At 34.9% G+C, this 17,346-nt stretch overlaps 1 protein-coding gene across 6 annotated transcripts in view; it reads right to left on the bottom strand.

Annotated features, from left to right (window-relative positions):
* Positions 1 to 17,346, bottom strand: part of HMCN1 (hemicentin 1) — a 456,559-nt gene that overhangs the window by 150,908 nt on the left and 288,305 nt on the right. For all 6 annotated transcript variants that reach the window (NM_031935.3, XM_011510038.4, XM_024450118.2 and 3 more), the window contains 4 exons: positions 16,889 to 17,012; positions 2,007 to 2,108; positions 1,037 to 1,213; positions 163 to 314 (listed from right to left, as the gene is read on the bottom strand). In NM_031935.3, coding sequence (NP_114141.2) covers positions 163 to 314; positions 1,037 to 1,213; positions 2,007 to 2,108; positions 16,889 to 17,012 — 555 coding nt within the window. The remainder of the gene's footprint in view (positions 1 to 162; positions 315 to 1,036; positions 1,214 to 2,006; positions 2,109 to 16,888; positions 17,013 to 17,346) is intronic.

Raw genomic sequence — 17,346 nt, 5'->3', positions numbered from 1 at the left:
CCCCAGTTATGTGTCCATGGTGTTTATGGTTGCATATGTGTATTTAAAAAATAGCATCTGTTAATCCTTGTTCTCTAAATCTCTTCAACAGTTTTACCTGTGTGTACTTCCTGTACTGAATAATCAGGTGGTAAATGTCACCAAAGAAATGAATGAAGGTACCTGTAATCCATTAGAAAAACTAGAAACAGGACTCCCATCTTTCAACCAGGTCAGACTTGGGGCAGGAATACCTCTGGCTTCACATTCTAACCTCACCGGGTTATTAACCACCACTGCCACCATGTTATTGCTGCCAGAAATTGATGGGGCCACTGAAAAAAACAAATGAAAGTAAGACACGTTAATATCACAGGATTTGTGATCTCAAATGATGAAAACTACATCTAATGTCTACAATATTATGTTCTTATTGGAGGGTTTGCTTGTTTTTTGGTAAGTTCTTTCACATCTCTCTTATTTAAGATCTAATCACAGCCATCCTGTGAGATAAACAGAGCAAGTATCAATTTCTCCATTTCACAGATGAGGAAAAACAAGTTTTGCCAGTTTGTTAAAAAAATCAGTTTTTTATGCCGGAGTGGAATTTTATTTATTGATTTCTAGGCGTGTGTGTGTGTGTGTGTGTGTGCACATGAACACAAGTGTGTACCCCCTTCACTGCATCCACTGTAGTATGTTAACTACCAACTCGTCTTAAAAGCATTATTAGAGATAATCACTCAAAAACATTTCGTTAATACCTATGATTCTTTCAGAGAGCATTTATAAGCAGTGTTTTTTGTTGTTAGCTAACAGTATCAATGACTATTTCAACAACTAATTGAAAGCAAACTTAAGTCAACAGCATGTGGAAATTGAGCATTTTAATAGGAATCAGGAATAAGCACATTTATAAGTTTTAGAACACTGTGCCCTTACATAAAGATGACAATAACACATTCTGTTAAATACTTACACAAGAATTTTATAGAAGCACTTAATCATTTTGAATGCTTCTTTACCCCAGAATGAATCTAGGTGAAGTGGCACTAACCATGAACTTGCAGACTGTAAAATAACTCTGTAGCTCCAGCTGAGTTGATGGCCACGCATTTATATATGCCAGCATCTGAGATCTGGGCACTTTCAATATCAATGATCTGTCCTCTGTTCAAGAAAGTCATGCTGGTGGAACCTGAGAGTAGACGATTATCTTTGTACCATGTAATAACTGAAAGAAGAAGGGGAGAAGATGATCTATGTAAAAATTTTTTAAATTAAATATACTAAGTTGGATCTTAGCTAAGTCACTATTACTTTATTCTTATACTTATTATTTGAATTTAATCTGTTTACATAATCATCTCTTTAGCTTTGATTTTTAAGAGAAGGTAACCCTTAGAAAAACACCAAGATCCAAGTCGGTGAGTCCTGAAAATGAATTTAGAAGAAAGATATTCTTTACTATCTCTAATATATCAGTATTATTTAATAGCAAACTTTCAACCTATCTATTTTTTGTTGTATGTTTCCTCTCATCCATAAAATTTTGGCTACATGTCTAATCAAACCAAATACCATCCACACTGTTGGCCTCAAAGATTTATGTTGTTACTGATTCATATGAATAATCTACCAGTGGTGGGAATATACAAAACAAAGTTGTAGTCTCATTAGAACGACAATTTTATCTAGCTTCATTAAGATACTTTTAAGTTAAAAAAAAGTTTCAGCATAGATGGATATAAACCACCATGTGGGCCTTGTGGCCACAATATTGACAATAAGATGATTAAGGTATTCATATATTTCTACATTGTTTAAATAAATTGTTTCATGCAGTTAGTTAAAGGCAACAAAAATTCAAAAATGTTATCTAATAATATTCTTATCAATGTTTCACCCATGAAATGTATTCTATAACCTGTTCTTTACTAGTAATTAGTATATTATGCTCAAAACCAATTTCAGTTATTCCCAGAAATCTTAAAATATTAAGTTACAGAGTTCAAAAGTAAATGTACCAGGCACAGGATTTCCAGCTGCCTTACACTCCAGCTGTACAGGGTTGCTCACCAACACAGTCTCATTCAGCATTTTTCCAGCATCTTCCAGACTAGGTGGTTCTACAAGAGGCCCAAACAGATAATTATTTCTTATAAGTAGAATATTTAAGCTGAAATTGTTTGCTCAATTAAAATTATAATTTTTCTTCCTCTCTTCTTTTTTTCACATATATACACTGACCTATTTGGAATAAAAGTAAACTATTAAATAGACTGAAGAACAGGATTTAAAAAAATGTAAATAAGTTTTCTGGATCACACATTTCTCTGTGTCCAGATAGGAAAATCCTTAGAATTATATAGATTAGTAGAGGAGTAAAAAAAAGTTAAAGAAACATTTTTTATTTTACTTAATCTGATTGATTTGGTAAGTAATTATCTTTACCAAGAAGTAATTAGTCTACTAAATTTGAATTCTTCCAGTGAAGAAGAAATCAACATCTCAAAATATCTTACTTTATCTTTGGACAGCACTGTCTTAAGCTATTTCAGAAAAAAATAGAATAACTTTTGTGTGGTTTTTGGCAGTTTTTTTCCTTTGATATAAAATTTAGACTTAAGTTATTCACAAAATAAAACAGAAAAGTACGTTTTCAACTTTAAGTAATTACTGATAATGCTGATCTGTTATTTAATGTACTTGGAAAGTAGGAATTCGTAAAGTCCGAGAGGCATAATATAAAAGAAATAACTTGGAACATTAATGCCATGTTTTCAACAATATCTCAAGGAGTGTGAGAGACATCCAGGATTAAAAAATTACAAGTGAACTAAAGGTTCTGTCTTGTTTGAAGAAGATGTTGTAAATTAGTATCTGAAGTTGATAGAAAAAAAAAACACATTTTAAGGATTTGCTACATTTAACTAACTCAATGCACTACAGACCCTCGACCCACATACAATCAATAAATCCATCAATCCATTAATCTACCAAAAACAGGAAAGGGGGAAAGAAGGAAAGAAAACAAGAAAAAATAGTAGAAATAAGTAAGATGGCAGAAATAAAATTAAATATATAAATATGACTGAGTTCATTTCATTGTTTAATAGAGCTTTTTGACACTTAAAATAGTGACTTTTTGACACGTTAATACTTGTATGGGTGGCCGGGTGTGGTAGCTCACACCTGTAATCCCAGCACTTTGGGAGGCTGAGGCAGGCAAATCACAAGGTCAGGAGTTTGAGACCAGCCTGGCCAACATGGTGAAATCCCATCTCTACTAAAAATACAAAAAATTAGATGGAGGTAGTGGTGGGCGCCTGTAATCCCAGCTACTTGGGAGGGTGAGACAGGAGAATCGCTTCAACTTGGGAGGTGGAGGTTGCAGTGAGCTGAGATCGTGCCATTGCACTCCAGCCTGGGCAACAAGAGCGAAACTCCACCTCAAAAAAAAAAAAGAAAAAATACTTGTATGGGTGATATGGTTTGGCTATGTCCCCACCCAAATCTCATCTTGAATTGTAGCTGGGAGGGACCCATTGGTAGATAATTGAATCATGGGAGCGGTTTCCTCCATACTGTTCTCATGATAGTGAATAAGTCTCATGGGATCTGATGGTTTTAGATCCATCAGATTGCCTTGGCTTTCATTCTCTTCTCTTGTCTGCCACCATGTGAGATGTGCCTTTTGCCTTCTGCCATGATTGTGAGGCCTCCCCAGCTATGTGTAACTGTGAGTCCATTAAACCTCTTTCTTTTCTAAATTGCCCAGTCTTGGGTATGTCTTTATCGGCAGCATGAACATGGACTAATACAATGGGTTAAAACTATTTTTAATTAAAATATCTAAGTGGATAAGGAGCACAAATAAAAACCCACAAAAATGTTACAATAAGGAGAAGGACAAAGATATACAATAATTTGACATCGATTTCTGACAACTATACAAAGCAAAAATTATTAAACATGACAAAACAACATGATTTATATTCATGAATAATATTTTATAATGACAATACCTTATGCATTGAATAACAAAGCAAAAATTGTTAAAAAGCAAGAAAAATTCAAAAACTCTAAAAGTGGCATATTTTAATATGTCCTCCTCAGAAATTGGCTGTGTAGTGAAACAAAAAATACAGTTATAACGAATATGAAAAATAAAAGTACCCATGCAGATTGTGTATGCATATGTGTATGTGTGTGTTTGGGGATTTGTAATTACCAAAGAATATATATGTTTTTCAAATGACAGTGGAATGTTTTCAAAATGAGATATTAGCCCATGAAATGCCAATAAAGTATTTTATAATCACAATTTAATAAAGCTATAAAATATAAATCAACAATGAAAATATAAAGCTATCTACATGGGAAAAATCTCATTAAAGATGAAATCAAGATAAGAATATGTTTAGAAAAATAAAGTGAAATTGATTAATATTAAAACCTATAGAATGTCACTAAAGCAGTACAGTACTTAAAGAAAATCGAAATCCATAATTAACATATATAAAAACCAAGAAATAATGAAAGAAAAGTCCTAAGCACTCAACCCAGAATTTAGAAGAAGACCAACACAATAAACCAAAACAGGCTAGAAATAAATAATAAAAATAAAAGCAGAAAACAAACAAAATCAAAGAAGATAATAAAACTCAAAGTTGATTTTTGAAAAGTCTAAAATAAAGTCTGTTTTCAGAAGTAGATGTCCTTTGGGTCAAATCTTTTTTGTCCTGGGAGTTGTTCCTAAAGACTCACCCCAGAACCACCCCTCTATCACTCTTAAAATTGCTTTTGTATTCATTTAATTCCATGTATTAACCCTACCTGTTTGAAATGCCTAGAATGTTTCTGTTTTCTGCACTGAATTCTGATTATCAACACAATATTTAAGGACACAAGACTTATAAATATAGCTATCTAACTTTTCCAACTGGAAAAGAAAAAAAGGAAGAATAATCAGTCCATGACACATTCCTACAAAACAGCTTTTTAAATACTTGAAGCCTTCTGGACTGAAGTGCTCATTGAAGAATTTGACAGACTATGTCGCTGCTGCAATAAAACACTATGATGGGAATAAGAAATACAAGAGCTATGGAATGGGTTGGCAATTTCTCACTTCACTAGAGAACTTAAAGAAAGATTGGATGTCAGCAAGAATGCCAGACTAAGGACTCAAAAAATCTACTCCTCCACTAAAGAAACAAAAATGTTGGAAACATTGTCAAAATCAACCTTTTCAGAACTTGGGAAATTAACCAAAGACTTGCAAAAATCCAAAAAGTATTTATTAAAAATAAATGCTAAATTTCATTAAGAACAGTGAGTTTTGAGGCATTTTAACTGACCTAGCCCTGTCACCCTCTCTCCAGCTCAGTCAAACTTGAAAACAAATAGTCCAATAATCACAGTGAAAAAAGCAGCCTAGCAGACACAGAAGGAAGAACAATAGGTTTCGAGCGACCTGAAAGTACCATTCTGAGAGAACTGTCATTATTTGACCTGTCTGGCCTTTCCATGAAAATCCCTGTTTGCAAGATTTGACTTTATTTAACCAGATTCAATTGTTCTGTCAGTGCAAACCTTTTCCCCAGGGGTATTTTAAAGTCTATAAAAACAGACTTCATAGAATTTATATAGAAAAGTTTCCTTATGCTTCTGAAACAAATTACCTCAAACTTGGTAGCTTAAATAATACAAATTTATCTTACAGTTTTATAGGTCAGAAGTCCAACATGGCCTGACTGGGTTAATATTAAGGTGTCAGCAGAGCTGAATTCCCTTCTGGAGGCTCTAGAGAAGAATCTGTTCCCTTGCCTTTTCCAACTTCTAGAGGCCATTTCCTCCATCTTCAAAGCCAGCAACGGGCAGGGCATGTGAGGAAGTGTGTGGAACATTCTTCTCACATTATATCACTCTGATATGCTGCTTCCCTTTCCCACATTTAATAATCCTTATGATTACATTGGGTTCATCCAGATAATTAGAGATTATCTTCCTACTTTAAGGTCAAATGATTAACAACCTTAATTCCCCTTTATGATGTAACCTAACATATTAATAAGTTCAAGGATTAGGATATGAAAATTTGGCAGGATGCCAGTATTCTGTCTACTCACTAATGAATCAAGACACAACGATGAAAACCAGCAACAAAAAAAAAATGACAATAAAAACCATGAGGAGAGAAGGATATGATTTCCAGAGTTGCCAAATTATGTTATTTAAAATATCTACTTTTTCAACAAAAATCACATATTCTAAGAAACAAGATAGCATGGCTCATCCATAGAAAAAGAAGCATAATAGAAACTGTCCATCAGGAAACCTAGAAACTAGATATTGTATTTACTAGACAAAAACTTTAAATCAGCTATTTTAAATACAATTGGCCCTCTCTATCTGCAGTGTCAATCAACCACGGATGGGAAATTTTTTTTAATAAAAAATAACAATACAACAATAAAAATTAATACAAATAAAAATGTAGTATAACTATTAATTACATAGCATCCACATTGTTTTGGGAATTAAGTAATTTAGAGATATTAAACTATACAAGAGGATGTGCTATATACAACTACTATACAATTTATGTTAATGTTTATCTCAATAGTTTTTGGGATACAGGTGGTTTTGGTTACATGGATAAGTTCTTCAGTGGTGATTTGAGATTTTAGTACACCCATCACTCGAACAGTATATGCTGTACCCAATATGTAGTTTTTATCCCTCATCCCTCATCACACTTCCCCCTGAATCCCCAAAGTGCATTATATCATTCTTATGCCTTTGCATCCTCATGGCTTAGCTCCTACTTAAAATTGAGAACATGCGATGTTTGGTTTTCCATTCCTGGGTTACTTCACTTAGAATACTGGCCTCCAGCTCCATCCAAGTTGCTGCAAAAGACATTATTTCATTCCTTTTTATGGTTGAGTAGTATTCCATGGTGTGTGTGTGTGTGTGTGTGTGTGTGTGTGCGTGTGTGTATATCACATTTTCTTTATCCACTCATTGGTTGATGGACCCTTAGGTTGGTTCCATATCTTTGCAATTGCAAATTGTGCTGTTGTAAACATGCATGTGCATGTGTCTTTTTCATATAACGACTTCTTTTCTTTTGGGTAAATACCCAGTAGTGAGATTCCTGGGTTGAATGGTAGTTCTACTTTTGGTTCCTTAAGGAATCTTCATACTGTTCTCCATAGTGGTTGTACTAATTTACATTCCCACCAGCAGTGTTAAAGTGTTCCCTTTCAGCACATCCACACCACATCTTTTTTTTTCTTTTTTTTTTTCTTTTTACTTATGGCCATTGTGTTAGTTCGTTCTCATGCTGCTAATAAAGACATACCCAAGACTGGGTAATTTATAAAGGAAAGAGGTTTAATTGACTCACAGTTCAGCATGGCTGGGGAGGCCTCAGGAAACATAATCATGGCCGAAGGGGAAGCAAACACATTCTTCTTCACATAGTAGCAGCAAGGAGCAGTGCAGAGCAAAGGTGGGGAAAAGCCCCTTATAAGACCATCAGATCTCATGAGAACTTACTCCCATGATTCAATTACCTCCCATCGGGTCCCTCCCACAACACATAGATATTATGGGAACTATGACTCAAGGTGAGATTTGGGTGGGTACACAGCCAAACCATATCAGCCACTCTTGCAGGAGTAAGGTGGTATCTCATTGTGGTTTCAATTTGCTTTTCCCTGATGATGAATGATGTCGAGTTTTTTTTTCATATATTAGGTTGGCTGCTTGTATATCTTTGAGAATTGTCTATTCACATCCTTTGCCCACTTTTTGATGGGATTATTTTTTTTTCTTGCTGATCTGTTTGAGTTCCTTGTAAATTCTGGATATTGGTCCTTTGCCAGATGCACAGTTTGCTAATATTTTCTCCCACTCTGTGGGTTGTCTGTTAACTCTGCTGATTATTTCTTTTGCTATGCATAAGGTTTTTAGTTTAATTCATCCCATTTATTTATTTTTGTTTTTTTTTTGTAACAAATACTATATAATTTTATATAGGGAACTTGAACATCAACAAATCTTGGTATCCATGTGGGGTCCTAGAATCAATCCCCTGTGGATATTGAGGGATGACTGAATGTTCCAAGAATTACAGGAAACCATCTATAAAGAACCAAAGAAAAGTAGCTGAATTATCACTAAATATAGATGTTAATCAAGAGACAGAAATTACTTTTAAAAGCCAAATGAAAATTCTAAAGTGTAATAAAAACTCAACACCTGGAAGAAGAAAGCTGGAAGGTGGAAGAAGAAACAAATCAACAAATTTGAAGATTGGTCAATTGATAATCCAATTTTAGAATCAAAGAAAAAAGAATAAAGAAAGTGAATAGAGCCTCTAAGACTTGTGGAAACACCATCAAACATAATGGGAGTACCAGAGGAGAGGAGAAGGAGAAAGGTACAGAAAGAATGCCTTAAAAAGTAATAACTGAAATGTTCCCAAATTTGAAGAAAAGCATCAATCTATATATCTAAGAAGTTTAAAAAATTCTAAGTTAGATAAACTCAAAGAAATCCCCACCAAGACATCAAAACCAAACTGTTTAAAACCAACAACTAAGGAACAATCTTGAAAGCAGTAAGAGAGAAGTGACTTATGTACAAAGATCCTCAGTACAAACAACAGCCAATTTCTTATCAAAAAAGACAAAGGCCAGAAGGTAGTAGGATGACATACTCAAAGTGCTGAAAGAAAATGACTACTAACCAAGAATTTCATATCCAGAAAATCTGTCTTTTAAAATTAAAGAAGAAATTAAGATATTTCTAGAAGAATGAAAATGGAAAGCAATGAATTCTAGGAAGAATTCATTGCTAGACCCCTGTTCTATGAGGAATTCTAAAAGGAGTTCTTCAGGTTGAAATGAAGCAGTAATTCTAATACACACAAAAGAATAAAGTTCACTGGTAGAGGTAACTACATAGATAAATATGTAAGATGTAAAAACTGTATATTTTGCTCGTAACTCATTTTTTCTCCTATTGATTTAAAAGATGATAATATAAAGCAGTAATGGGCACTTTAAAAAATGTAATTCGTTTAACAATAATAGCACAAAAGAGGGGAAAAAGAGAGCTAATTAAGAACAAAATTTTTGTATACTGTTGAAATATCCAAATACTATAATTATTAAGATTCTAATTATAATACTGAGGAAAACTACTAAAAATAGAACTCAAAAAATGTAAAAGAAGCAATAAGGGCAATAAAATGGCACCCAAGAAAATGTTAGCAATGGAGAAAGAGAAAAACAAAAAATGACATAATAAATATTAAAATATATAACCAATGACAGACATAAACTCTACCACATCAGTAGTTAAATTAAATGTAAATGGATTAAATACTCCAATCAAAAGGCAGAGATTGGCAGAATGGAGTTTTTTAAAAATTCAACTGTATGTTGCCTATAATAGCACACTTTAGATTCAAAGACAAATACATTGAAAGTAAAAAGATGAAAAACAATATATGATGCAAACAGTAATGGAAAAAGAACTGCAGGGGCTATACTAACATCACAAAAAATAGACTTCAAGAAAAACTGTTACTGGCAACAAAGTAGGACTTTAAAAAAAATACAAAAGGTTAATTCATCAGGATATACCAATTATAAATACATACGTACATAACAACAGATCCCCAATATACACGGAACAAAAATTGACAAACTCAAAGGGAGAAATAGACAATAAAACTATAAAAGTTAAGAGACTTCGATATCCCACTTTCAATTGTGGATACAACTACACAGAAAATCAATAAAAAGATAGAAGACTTGCACAACCTATAACGCAAGTGGCACACATAGACTACTCCACCAGAAAACACATTCTTCTCAAGTGCACATGTCATAGTCTCAAAGACAGACTATATATAAGACTATAAGACAACTCTTGATACATTTAAAAGGACTATAATCTTACAGTGTATGTTCTCCAGCACAATGAAATTTAGGAACCAATAATGAAAGAAAATTTGGGAACTTCACAAATATGTGAAAATGAAGTAACACAGTCCTAAATAACTATTGGTCAGAGAAGAAATCACATGACAGATAATATTTTGAGAGGAATGAAAAATAAAAACATGCCAAAACTTGTGGGATGCACATAAAGAAGAGCTTAGACTGATTTGTAGCTGCAAGCATCCATATTAAAAAATAAGATCTCAAATCAATAACCTAACATTCTACCTTAAGAAATCAGAAAAAAAGAAGAGTAAACTCTATCCAAAGCAAGCAAAAGGAGAAAACAAAAAAAATTAGAGTATATACAAATTAAATAGAGAAGAGAAAAACAGTAGAGAAAATTAACAAAACCAAAAGCTGGTTCTTGGAAAAGATCAACAAAATGAAAAAGACTTCAGCTACACTAAGATAAACAAAAGCGAGAAGATCTAATTACTACAATCAGAAATGAAAGAGGGGTCATTACCGCAATCTTACAGAAATAAAAAAAAAAAACTTTAGGAGAAGATTACAAACAGTTGTATGCCAACAAATTAGATAACCTAAATAAAACAAAAACAATCTTAGAAAGATATAAACTACTGAAATTGACTGAGTTGTACACTCCAAAAGGATGAATCTTCTATTATGTGAATTATATGTGTGATCTCTTTGTGAATAACAAGCTCAGAATTTTTAACGTTCAACTCAAGAAACAACTGGGATCAAGAAGCACCCATAACTGACCTACAAAGATCTCATAATAAATCAGATAGTCTGATTTGATGCTCACTGTATTTCAACATAATTTTAATTTATAGCCTCAGAAGGTTGAAAAAAAATAAGCCAATTGCTTTTCTACTCCAAAGAGTTAGAGAAAAAAATTATTGCTAAGCATTTTTTTTTTCTGAAAGACTTCTATTAAGTCTTCACAGCCAGACTTAGCAAATATAAAGATGTTATCTTAGCTAATTTTTTCAGATGTCCTCAAGGTAGTTTCCATATAAAACATATGCTTTTATATGGCCAGGCACAGTGGCTCGCCCCTGTAATCCCAGGACTTTGGGAGGCTGAGGCGGACGGATCACGGATCACGAGGTGAGGAGTTCGAGATCAGCCTGGGCAACATAGTGAAACCCCGTCTCTACTAAAAAGACAAAAAAATTAGCCAGGAGTGGTGGCAGGTGCCTGTAACCCCAGCTACTCAGGAGGCTGAGGCAGGAGAATGGCTTGAACCTGGGAGGCGGAAGTTGCAGTGAGCCAAGATCGCGCCATTGTACTCCAGCCCAGGCAACAGTGCGAGACTCCGTCTCAAAAAAAAAAAAAAAAATATGCTTTAGAAATGTCAAAACATAACTCAGTAACTAAAAGAGGAAAGCTAATGACTAAAGGCCTTGTACAGAGAAGCTCTTTGGGTATAGTCACTAGTACATGGTATTTGACAAACAAGTGGACCAGAAACCCACTGATTCTTGGGGGGATTGTTTGCCAAATAATTATAATCCTGCCTGCAAAGCACGTAATGGTTCAATGCCTCAAACACCAGAAAGGCTCCAATGTAAGTCCATATAAAAATGTTTTAAAAGCCTGATTTCTTTCTCATTTTGAGGTTAAAAGTAAATACAAATATAAATTCCATTGCTCCCTTCTAGCATTGAAATGCAGTCTTGAAATTTGGGAGAACATTGTTCTAGATAGAGCAGCAATAAAGTAACAATATCTTATGATCTTATTTTAATAATAAGATGCCTGCATTCTCCAAGAAGAAGGTTGAATTCCATTCAATTTGCTGGGTTTTTTTTCCTTTTTCCAAAAGCTGCATGTACATATCATGCCAAAACCAGAATACCTTCTTCTTGACACATTGTGTGCTAGATTTTGCCTATTACTTCAATCACGCAGGTCATGAGTAGAGTCTTTCAAATCCTGGTTAAATTACAGGTAGTACATAAGCAATCTAAATGTAATTTTTGTGAGTTAATATTCTCTATCTAGTGAAATTGTGAAATAGTGAGGAATAAATTAATCTATACCAAGAAAATCTTAGAGTCTTGAACCGAAGTTACCCATGAAAAAAGAAAAAGGTTCCCTGCAACATTCCCGAGTCTCCTTTAAGCCACATTTGAGCTATTAAACAAAACACAGAAAACGACAGAGGAACCATTTTTGAGTGGGTGTTAGCAGATGTTAGCCAAGCAAATACTTTTCAAAAAATAAAAAAATAAGGGGTGCTCTACTAATGTTTTTACCAGACAACTAATACAGACCCAAGAGAGTTCCTGGCCAAGAGTAAAGGCAGGAGGGACTTTACAGATATTTATGAAAATGGTGCAGTGAGAAGGGCCAAAAATCAAATATGTGTTTTGCCAGACAGCCTTTATGCTGTCATTTACAGATGCTGACTAGGAGCCAGGCACCAGGCTAAGATTTTCACATGTAGTCTTTCATTTAATCCTCACACAGCCTCCATAACTGTGGTATACTCTCTCTATCCTTCCCATTTTACAGATGAGGAATGTACGTTTTTATCCTGCAGTTATTAATTGGCAATATAAAAAAGTAAATTTGAAGCCACAATATTTTACTTTTTCTGGGTGTTTCACCTTGGTTAATTTTTTTCCTGGGAAATAATTGTGTGCAGATAAAATGAATGCTTGGGCTATTAGACTCCAAATAATCATTTGTTTGTGGAAACATCTGTCGCACTTGGCAAATATCTGAGGTTTAGATGTAATTTCATAGTTTGGTCTAGGGAATAAAAACTTCCAGAATTATTAAACTTTGATGATCAAAAAGACCACCTACTGAGGGCTCCTGCCCTTTATAAATGACAGAACTCCCCACCCTGGAAAACCCCATGAGAATGTTCCTCTTTTCTTGATCATGACGTGGTCTCCTAGTCCAGGAGACCAGGCACCCTTACTACAGCTTTGAGAAACAGCCTTTGCTATGACTAAGAAGAATGGTAGCATCTAAGATATTTATATAAGAAAGGAAAACATTAAACAATTGAAACACTGAATATTTTAGGATCAGACATTTCTGGATGACAACTGTAGTAAATGCACATTTGCTGAATGTGTTATCCATCAATAAAGATTGAGATTAAAAAAAAAACCTGGGCTGGGCATGGTGGCTCACACCTGTAATCCCAACACTTTGGGAGGCCGAGGTCGGCAGATGTCTTGAGCCCAGGAGTTCAAGACCAGCCTGGGCAACATGGTGAAATCCCATCTCTACAAAAAGTACAAACATTAGCCAGGCATGGTGGCATTTGCTTGTGGTCCTCCCTACTAGGGAGGCTGAGGTGGGAAGATCACCTGAGCCTAGGGAGATCCGGGCTGTAATGAGTCATGACCGTACCACTGCACTCCAACTTGGGTGACAGAGTGAGATTTTGTCTCTAAAAACAAAAATAAAAACAAAAAATCCTGACTTCAAAAGTAACTACAGGGTTGGTTGATAAATTAATAACTGAACCTAATTAAATGAGGATTGCTTCCCCATGGGTTTTGCAATGCCCTTTTTAATACATAGAACAAGAATTGTATGCAATACTTTGGGAGCATTCGAAGAGCAACAGTATTAATTGGGCTAGTTCCTCTCTTGTTCCTTATACTGTAACTTCTGCTATTGGCTGCTAAGTTTGATTAACTTTTTTATGAAACTAAATTCTCATACCTACAGTAATTGGAACAAACCAAATCCAAATTCAAATACTCAAGTATTTCAATGCATGGTGTCTTTTAAGCCATGCTTTTCACATCCTATTCTTATATAGTTTTCCACATTAACTTGTCATTTTAACCACTGAGGTCTTTTTGAAGTCTATCATCAACCAGTCTCTTAGAAATTCCTACATTTTTTAACATCTCCAATTATCAGTAAAGTTATAAATGCAAGTATTGAAGAGGACAGAGTCAGGTTTGGAGACTTATGTGTCCAATGTGATGTTATTGTCATGAATGTCAAAGTGAAATGCCAGTTTTCTGTCTAGATTTCTAGATTCCCATCACATGCACTCAGCCAACTGCTTCTTCCAGGCTGATCACAATTAGTATCAGATTAGAAGTGCACTTCATCATTTATTCTCCCTTCAGGGAGATGAACTGTTATGTACACAAGTCATGATCATATTAGTTGAAATGTTTTAACCTACTACTATACCTTACTTTTATCCTGTGATTTGTATCAGGAAGATAGTTTTATATTCTCCCTCTGATTGAGCAATTTTTAATAAGCTCTTAAAATGACTAACCTTCTGCTTCTCTTTCATTTCACATTAACCCATATGTTTACCAGTCTGCCCCCTTCTCTTTGATGATTTTCCATGTAGAGGTGCACCCTAATTGCATCTCCCGTCAACCAACATTTTGCTATAATATTCAAGTTTAGAGACTTGTGCCTTCTTAGGTATCAATTATGCTTTTTCTCTTCTGTTGTTGCTCTTTATTTGATGGGATACTTGATTTCTCTCACAGACTCTGGTTTTCAGTCAGTCCTGACTACACTGGCAAGTCTTCAGGCCAGTCTTTAGTATCTAGGCCAATGTTTTTCCAAACACGGGCTCACAGACTACCTACATTAGAGGTGCTGTTTCAGGAGATCTGGGACTAGGCCCAGGAAGCTGTATGTTTAATATGTAACTTACATGTCTTTTAAGAATACTGAAATTTTAGAGCATCTGTTCTAGGCAGATACTTCCAGGACTGGAGACATACACTCTATTCTTTATTATACAGCAGGGGTCCCCAACCCTGGGCCACAGACTGATACCAGTTGATGGCTGGTTAGGAACTGGGCCACACAGCAGGAGGTGAGTGGCAGGAGAGCAAGCATTACCACCTGAGCGCTGCCTCCTATCAGATCAGCAGCAGCAGTAGATTCTCCTAGGAGTACGAACCCTATTGTGAACTGTGCATGCAAGGGATCTGGGTTGCATGTTCATTACGATAATATAATGCCTGATGATCTGTCACTGTTTCCCGTTACCCCCAGATGGGACCGTCTAGTTGCAGAAAAACAAGCTCAGGGCTTCCACTGATTCTACATTATGGTGAGTTGTATAATTATACCATTATATATTACAATGTAATAATAATAGAAATAAAGTGCACAATAAATGTCATGGACTTGAATAATCCTGAAACCATCCCTCTCCCTAGTCTGTGGGAAAATTGTCTTCCAAGAAACTGGTCCCTGGTGCCAAAAAGGTTGGGGGCTGCTGTTATAGAGCATTCATTTAAGTATTTTAAAAATAGTCTAGAGAACAAAACATCCTTCTTTTTAAAAACACCTCAGGAAGTAGAAGTTAGCAAAGTTAGCTGCTAACATTTATTTAGTGTCTATGAAGTGGGAGATGTTTTATACCTATTATCTCTGAACCCCAAAATCACTATGGAAGTCAGATACTCATAGAAATTAAGTAGTTTACTCAAGGTAACATACATCATGTTTAGCATAGAATTTAAACCAAAGTTGGCCTGACTCCTAAGCGCCTAAGATGATTGTATCATGCCATTGTATCCCACTTCACTGTTTCCTCTTAGCCAGTAACAGAGACCAGACAAGAACTGAACTTGATGGGAGAGGGAAGGCAAATAGCTTGCAGAAGGAGAAGAGAACGAGCCTCAGGATAGGGAAATAAGAAAGAAGAGAGAATCCCCCCCAGCATACTCTTAGATGGAAGTGTAAGTCTAAGCAGATGCTGGAGACAGCTGTAAAGAGCACTAGGAAGAGATAAAGGCCTTATGGGGAACGAGGCAAATGCAAGGCACCTTACAGTAGAGCAGGGTCAGCCTGTCCCCTAACCCCACTAGCATTGTCAGCCAATTGCAAAATGGTTACATTCAGATATTCGTCTCCCAACTAACGATCCAGTGAAAGAATAAAGACCCACATGGTTTACGTATGTTATGGTATGTATGTAGACATCCCTAAGTTAGGTGTTCATATTTCAGGGACTGGGAAAAGAATAAATTGATATATTGGAAACATTTAGGAAACTGATGATTTGAATCTTTTTAACCAGTTTATTCAAATGGAAGAAAATGTACGAAGAAGCAAATTAGAAGAATTTAATATCCAATGAAAACTTTTTCATTCACCTACTATTTACTCTTTTATTTGTTAAATATTTTTGACTGCCTACTATATACCTGGAATTAAGCTAGGTGCTAGGACATTATTCTAGGTTTAATTGCTTGGTAAATGTGAAGTGAATATATGAATGAATAAATTAATAAAAGGCTGAAGAAGAAATCATGTGAATTAGAGAAAATGAATAACGTGTACATGAAAATCTTGAACAGTTTTCTGCAAATATTCTGGCTAAATTAGGAAAGTCCAACCCTCTAATTATTGGCCTTTTCTGATGAGCCTCTAGAGATCTGAAGTGGTATATTCAAGGTTATGTAGTCTTTCAAGTTTACTGTGAAGCTATGATTTTATTGAGGTGCTCTGTGGCCACCCAGACTTTTTATTACAGCACATTGGAGAAAATCCTGAGCCAAAGATGGCTTCTACTCACTAAATCCTTCTTATAGGCAGGCAAGAAAAACGCAGACAAGATTAAGAAACAATGCTGTCAACTTCTGTCTTTTCAACAAAAGTTATCTGTAGAAAGCTATAAGTTAACAGAATACAGTTAACTTAAAACACATGGTGTATTTAATTATGAGCTCCAGTATATCCTGTTTGACAACCTGAAAACAGAAGATCCTAACACGAGCAATGAAAATTACAATAATGTAAAAAAAAAAAAAAAACCCTAGGTTTTTTTTATACAGACTAAGAAAATAAACACCTGTTTCTTTTATACTGTAATTCAATAAAAATGAGCCCACTATGTTTTTAAAAAGTGATACAAATATTCTTTTGTTAAGGTGTAGAAATTACATTACCATGAACATGCAGTTGAATGTGCTGTTGTGTTTCTCCAGCTGCGTTGGTAGCCACACATGTGTATCTGCCAGCATCTTCCAACAGGGTTTTGGCAATTTGTAGAACTCGACCAGAAGACTGTATCTAATTGGGAGCAGAAAGCACAGAGGATTTTTGTATCTTATACTTGGATTTGAAAATATTCACTGAGACAGAAAAATTCATTTAAATTTATAATATCTAACAATATTTTCATGCCAATATCTTAATAAACCCTTGATAGACTAGAGCGAGTTCACATCATCATGCACAAGACAATAGACTAGTTTGATTGAAAAGCCTTTTCTTATTCATTGGAAAACACAAAATAAAATAACATAAGGCCAGCTTACTGGTATAGTCATACTGAATAAAAGACTTTAGCACTGAACTATGAAGTAAGTGATGAAAATTTAAGCTATTTGAAAAAAAAACCTGG

Source organism: Homo sapiens, chromosome 1 (assembly GCF_000001405.40).
Source record: "Homo sapiens chromosome 1, GRCh38.p14 Primary Assembly".
Lineage (NCBI taxonomy): Eukaryota > Metazoa > Chordata > Mammalia > Primates > Hominidae > Homo > Homo sapiens.
Note: the sequence above shows the minus strand (reverse complement) of the source record. Positions and strands in the feature narration are given on the sequence as shown.